The sequence below is a fragment of the Homo sapiens genome, chromosome 7 (assembly GCF_000001405.40).
Source record: "Homo sapiens chromosome 7, GRCh38.p14 Primary Assembly".
NCBI lineage: Eukaryota > Metazoa > Chordata > Mammalia > Primates > Hominidae > Homo > Homo sapiens.
In genome coordinates, this window is record NC_000007.14 from 134065786 (window position 1) to 134072359 (window position 6574).

At 45.5% G+C, this 6574-nt stretch overlaps 1 protein-coding gene across 8 annotated transcripts in view, besides 1 other annotated feature; it reads left to right on the plus strand.

The window, feature by feature from the left end:
* The window catches only part of EXOC4 (exocyst complex component 4), an 847874-nt gene that overhangs the window by 812708 nt on the left and 28592 nt on the right, over positions 1 to 6574 (plus strand). For 3 of the 8 annotated variants that reach the window (XR_007060126.1, XR_007060123.1, XR_007060128.1), the window contains exons 19-22: positions 12 to 165; positions 475 to 810; positions 5412 to 5654; positions 6461 to 6528. The gene's annotated coding sequence lies outside the window, so the exon portion shown is untranslated. Of the gene's footprint in view, positions 1 to 11; positions 166 to 474; positions 5033 to 5411; positions 5655 to 6460; positions 6529 to 6574 lie in introns of those variants that run through there. The other 5 variants (XR_007060125.1, XR_007060127.1, XR_007060122.1 and 2 more) reach the window with 4 other exon arrangements.
* Positions 5807 to 5906: an enhancer, noted in NCBI's record as "active region_26686". NCBI's record gives its function as "activates an Ori minimal core promoter by ATAC-STARR-seq in GM12878 lymphoblastoid cells {active_cell/tissue: GM12878}" and the evidence as "EXISTENCE:reporter gene assay evidence [ECO:0000049][PMID:35858748]".

Genomic DNA, 6574 nt, shown 5'->3' on the forward strand with positions numbered 1-6574 from the left:
TCTTTATTCAGCAAATATTCCCCAGAAGCCTAATATGTGCTCCATGCTACCACACACAAGGGCAAATGGATAGATGAAGAGGACACCCTTATTATCTAAGAGTGTGGGAACTGGACTGGAGCCAAAAATCCCAACAGCTCAAACTCAGGGCTGGGTCAGAATCAGGTCAGGCAGTGGGGCTGCCGGGAAGGGGATTCAGTGGGCAGCTGGAGGTTCCAGGGGATTCTGGTGGGAAAGAATGTAGTCAATCTGTCTGGCTCCAAGGGCCTGACTGGGAAGAAGTTGAATCTCTGTAGGAGACAACTGTGGAAAAACATACTGCCCTAAACGATATCATGAGAAATAGTCTACCCTAGAAGCAGGAGTGGAAGAAGGGGGGATGAGAGGAGATTAGGGTTGCCTAAGCTGCTGCTTCATGGCCGTGACCCCCAGCATTGATTCTGTACCTTTCCTTTTTCTTCCTGTCCACTCCAGGCGGAGAACCCGGAGTGGTGACAGTGATGGCAGCAGAGCCAGGGTGAGACTGAGAGTGCTCAGACTAATTTTCTTGGAAGTAGTGGAAAGCTCCGCTAAAAAAGAAACATGGGTTTGGATTGAGCAGAATGTCAAGAGCCCTGAGAACCAACCAAAAAATGGCAGATGAGCTGTTTCAGGGGCAACATTTAGGAAAGTGAAATCTCTGCTTTGCTTACAATGACGGGACTGAAAATGGCAATTCTGCACAGGAAAGGGACTGTGGGACTCTTCCAAGACATTTAGGACATCCAAGTTTCTTTGAAGGTTGGCACATCAGTCTTTATTCTTCCACAGGTAAAGAACAGCCAGTGACACACTCAGTGGGTGGTCAATGGCTACCTCACAACCTATATGCATTTGGGACACAGTGAAGATTTCCACATTTTGGTCCTACTTAGGAGTATTTTGTGAGGCTGTTGTGCTGTTTACAGCCTTGACCAACCAGAAAGTGCTAGAGAGAGCCAGGGTCTGCCAAGGACAGGGCCCACGAAACACATACACAGTTACGTAATGTTCTTGTGTGAAGACCTCTCCCTAAGTGTGCTATTGCAGATAAGAAGGCCAACAAAGGTCAGGCATGGTGGCTCACACCTGTAATCCCAGCACTTTGGGAGGCTGAGGCAGGCAGATCAGGAGGTCAGGAGTTCGAGACCAGCCTGGCCAACATAGTGAAACCCCATCTCTACTAAAAATACAAAAATTAGCTGGTGTGGTGGTGCACACCTGTAATCCCAGCTACTCAGGAGGCTGAGGCAGGAGAATCGCTTGAACCTGGGAGGTGGAAGTTGCAGTGAGCCCAGATCACACCATTGCACTCCAGCCTAGGCGACAGAGCGACACTCTGTCTCAAAAAAAAAAAAAAAAAAAAAAAAAGGCCAACGAAATACGCCTTACCAGAAGGGGTGCTGGAAACAAAGCAAACCGTTTTCTCATTCTTATACAGAGGTACAAATGGGAGGGATGTGTGGACTGCTGCCTGCATCACTAGTCACTGTGCCATGGAGTAGGCCCACGGGAGTAGGAGGGGTCCTGAGATGGGAAATCAACATGACCATGAAGAAGGAAGGCTTTGGAGTGATGTCATCCAACTTGGTTCTCAGAACAGCAGCTCCCAGAGAGCACTTCCTTCTAACACTGTTATCTACTCTCTGGTACTTAGCATGTGTTCCCATTTAGTCCTCACAGCAACCCTTATCATAAATATTACTTTCCTCTCTTCCATACCCAAGGGCCCAGAAACTACTGAAAGAATCTCTTTCAAGTTAGCCTTCGTTGGAATAAATTCCTTGAAAAAGAGGTAGTTCATCAGCTAGGACCCAACTCTTATATATATATATACACACACACACACACACACACACACACACACACACAGGCAATTGTGTTCTTGGAAGTGCTGGTGGTGGTTTCTTCTATATTTTTGGTTACTTTTAGCTATATATTATTGCCTGTCAGTATACCTTCCAATTTATAAATGAAACTACTCTTTGGGTGATATTGTGCCCCTTACCCCACAAGCACTTCTTTCTACCTGCTCTATTAATACAGGTTCTTTCAGGGTCTCTCATCCTAGGCGGTGTTTTTATTCCTACCTCACAGTAGGGCTTTGAAATCTTACTGCCCAACTAGAACATTTTCCCCCTCCACACTGATTTCATCCCAATAATTAGACAAGGATTGGTTCCTCAGGTTGCTCTTGCTGGTTAAGGACAAGTCCTGCTTCCAGGCTCTGAAAGACAAGTTTATTTTTTAGTATGTCCAGATCAGCTCAAGTTTAGTGGTAAGACCAGGCCTGAGCTGCTACAGCCCATACTCTTGAAACCCATCCTCTTGAAACTCTTGACACCACACTGGAAACCTTGTGAAAAGCCTCTGCTTTTCATGACCTTTCCTCCTTGTTTCTGACCTACTTGAGGAAAGGAGCTGATACAGTTTGGCTGTGTCCCCACCCAAATATCATCTTGAATTGCAGCTCCCATAATCCCACGTGTCAGGGGAGGGACCTGGTAGGAGGTTAATGAATCATGGGGGTGAGTTTTTCCAGTGCTGTTCACATGATAGTGAATTAGTGTCACAGCATCCAATGGTTTTATAAAGGGCAGTTCTCCCACACATTTCTCCTTGCCTACTGCCATGTAAGACGTGACTTTGCTCCTCCTTCACCTTTCGCCATGATTGTGAGGCCTCCCCAGCCATGTGGAACTGTGAGTCCATTAAACCTCTTTTTCATTATAAATTACCCAGTGTCAGGTATTTCTTCATAGCAGTATGAAAATGGACTAATATAGGGGCTGTATCTTGCCCATCCTTAGGTACTATTACTTCTATTACATTACTACTAATCTGGTGGGATCCTCTTCCAGCAGTTACTGCCCTCTGCAGAGTAACCCCATTCCAAGAAGCCCCACCCTCTCTCCAAGACTTTATTCTTGTCTGAATGTTTTCTGAGCCCGACGGTCCTTATTTATGTTTCAAATAGCTTGGGAGGAAAAACTCCAATACAGACAACTTGAATTGGCAACCAAACCCTAATGCTACTTACTGTCAAGTCATATCCGTGAATTTCGTAGCACTAATGCATTCATTCAGTCAGTCAAATAGAATTGCCTGTTACAGCTCAGGTTGATATGGGAGTCGGGCAATGACAGGCAAAAGAAACAGCCCCTTGTGACACAAAGCTTATACTTCCACTGGCTTCTTACAACTCCTCTCTGATCTACCCTTCCCAGAGTCCATATTTCCCCTCTCGATTCTCTGTGACCACCCTTTCATTTAGGAAGACAGCTCAAATTTCAGCCTGACTCTGTGCACTCTCTTCTGAGCTTTGCTTCTCTGGAAGCTTAGGACTCTCACGATCCACTGTGCCCCACTAGCTAGCACACCTAGCAGTTCACCCTTTACCAGTTCTTCTTCTTCTTCTCCTTCTTCTTCTCCTTATTCTCCTTATTCTCCTACTTCCTCCCTCCTCTTCTCCTCCTCCTTCTCCCCCTCATTCTCCTCCTCCTCCTTTCTTCCTTCTCCCCCTCCTTCTCCTCCTTCTCCTCCTCCTTCTCCTTCTTCCTCCTCCCTCTTCTCCTCCTTCTCCGCCTCTTCTCCCCCTACTTCTCCTTCCTCCTTCCTCCTCTTCTCCTCCTCCTTCTCCTGCTCCTCCTCCTTCTCCTTCCTCCTCCATCCTCTTCTCCTCCTTCTTCTCCTTTCTTCTTTCTTCTTCTTTGAGACAAGGTCTCACTCTGTTGCCCCGGCTGGAGTGCATTGGCACCATTTCAGCTCACTGCAACCTCTGCCTCCTGGGTTCAAGCGATTCTCACACCTCTGCCTCTCAAGTAGCTGGAACTACAGACCATGCCCAGATAATTTTTGTATTTTTAGTACAGATGGGATTTCACCATGTTGGCCAGGCTGGTCTCAAACCCCTGGGGCTCAGCCTCCCAAAGCGCTGGGACTACAGGCATGAGCCACCACACCTGGCCCCTTTACCATTTCTTGATGGAACTAATGGATTCCCACCCCACAGCCTTTATGAATGGACTGAGGCCATTGAATTCAGGATTCTTACTTTGGTGTGTAGCTGTGGCTGCCTCCCTAGGACCAGGGCACAGAAATTTCACAGTAACCAATGAGAGAGACCAGGGGCCAGCTCCAAGCCAGAGTCATTTCATTCAGGGCAGATGTGATCAGAAGACCAGCCAAGGGGCTGTCCCTCTAGCAGGATGTGAAAACAAGGAGAGTCCTGGTCAACACAATTTTGCTTGGAAAGCAAAGTGGGTGCTGAAATACCTACACCTGAGAGCGATTGTCTTAATGTGGCAGGAATGTAAAACAAATTGGACATAATTTGGAGGGAGGGTAATGAGGTACCACGAACAAGAAAACATAAAGAATCACTAGGCTCGGCAAGGTGTCAACCCTGTCCTAATTAGGCACAGTTGTTATAAGAAGTACATAATTAATAAGCGTGTGACCAGATGTGAAATACAGCAGAGGTTTTTCCTGAAATGGAGGGTGTAATGAACTGCGCAGCTGGAAGTAGTTGTCCTAATTTGGCGCAGGCGGAAGGCCTGCCTGGAATTTTGAAGAGGTGTAGTAAGATGCACACCACAGGTTTACACCTGAAAACAACTAATCCTATTCCAACTGGACTGGGGTGTAATGAGATAGAGCTACTTATCAAGAGTGTAATGAGATGCAAAAGCCATTGGAACTGAGCTGGAAATTTCTTTAAAAGTGAACTAAGACGCAAACACCAGGAAAGAATTTCTGCTAATGGAGGTAGGTGTGAGTGTGATGAAACGTACACCATGTGAGGAGAGGCTGCTTTAACATGTCTGGGCCAAAGACGCGTCTGTAATTAAAAATATTGCCAGGACATTTACACACCTGGAGCAAGAGTCCCTGGGAACCTAAGAACGCAATGACTTGTAAAAGCCACATGCATACTATTAAGATGTATGTGACCACTTATGTGTGTACAAATAACTGGAAAAAAAATAAAAGGAACTTAGGTGTTTTCGGGTGAGTGCAGTTCCCATTTTCCTTGATCTCATTTAGAAAGGTGACCTCAGATTCCTGCTGACTTTGCAATAGATACTCTAGCAGGAACCTGATTCCAAACAGAAAACCCAGCAATCTTCTCATCCCAAACTGATTTAATTATCACCAGCTCAAGTTTTCTTTCACACAAGGATTTATTTACTGTGTGAGAGAGATCAGGAAACCATTAGTAGCTGGTTTTTGTGGTTGTTTTTATTTTATGATTGCTACTACGTTATTCTAGACACCATTTATGGAACACTTCATGTGTATCAGGTGCTGTGCTAAATGCTTTACCACATTATTTCATTTAATCCTCACAATAATCCTACAAGATGTATATTATTATCATCCCTACTTTACAGAGGAAACTAAGGCTCGGATTAAGGGCTTTGCACCAGATCTGGTAAGTGAGCCAGCTCTGCCCAACACCAGAGTTCATTCTGGAACCGTAGCCAAATCCAAAGCTCATACCACTCGTCTCACAACAGCCAATAAGACAAGACATACTCAACTATTCTTTCCAAATAAAGGAAAGTGACTTTATTTCAGGAAGCCAGCAAACTGAGAAGATGGCAGACTGGTGTCCTAAAGGACCATCTTCAAAGGTATGAATCTCAAGCTTCTTTTTATATTGGGTAAAGGGAACAAGGAGGGGGTTAAGGTCAGGAGGTGACAGGTGACCACAGACATCTGGGTGTCAGCAAGAGTCTGAGGGAGTTTCATAACTTCTTTTTCTTTGTTCAGGTCACAGCACTCCTACAAGTCTTTAGCATAACATTGTTCTTGGGTGTATGCCCTTCTTATCTCCTCAGGGGTTAGTTTGGGGAAGGCCCTATTATCATCCTTGCTTTAAAGTTAAGCTATACACTAAATTCCTCCCATAGTTAGCTGGGCCTACATGCAGGAATGAGCAAAGGCAGTTTGCTTGGGGGTTAGAAGCAAGATGGAGTCAACTATGCTAGATTTCTCTCACTGCTACAGAACCCCCCTCTGTGCTATTTTGAGCCAAACCCCCTTGTCTAGTGTGGCAAAGGCAGGGACTCTCACATGCTATATTTGAGCCCCAAGTGATACTGGTAGTCTGACTCATCCATTCACCCTGTCCTCTCCTGTAACCTCCAGCAGGAACCATTTCTGGACCACATTTGGGGCCACCATTGCCCACTCTCCTCTCTGCTTCTCCTCCACCCACAGCTGCCTGAGCCCATCCCTGTGACCAGTACATTGACAGAAATCTTGGAAACACAAACCTTTGGTTCAGGGGCTGACCCCCCACCAGTTGGAGGCTGGAGATAACCCCAAGAGGTTGAAGCTAAATGCTCAGGTTCTAGAATCTGGTGTATCTTGGCTCAACATGTTGCCTTAGCCTTCATAGGGGAGGCAACTTATCTTTTCCTTCTATCTATCTTAGGTTCATTGTCTGGAACCCCTGTAACAAAAGACAGATTAAGAAGAAGAAAGCATACTAATTTATTTAATGTAAGTTATACATGAAAAAAAATGAAGACCTGAAGAAGTAATTAAA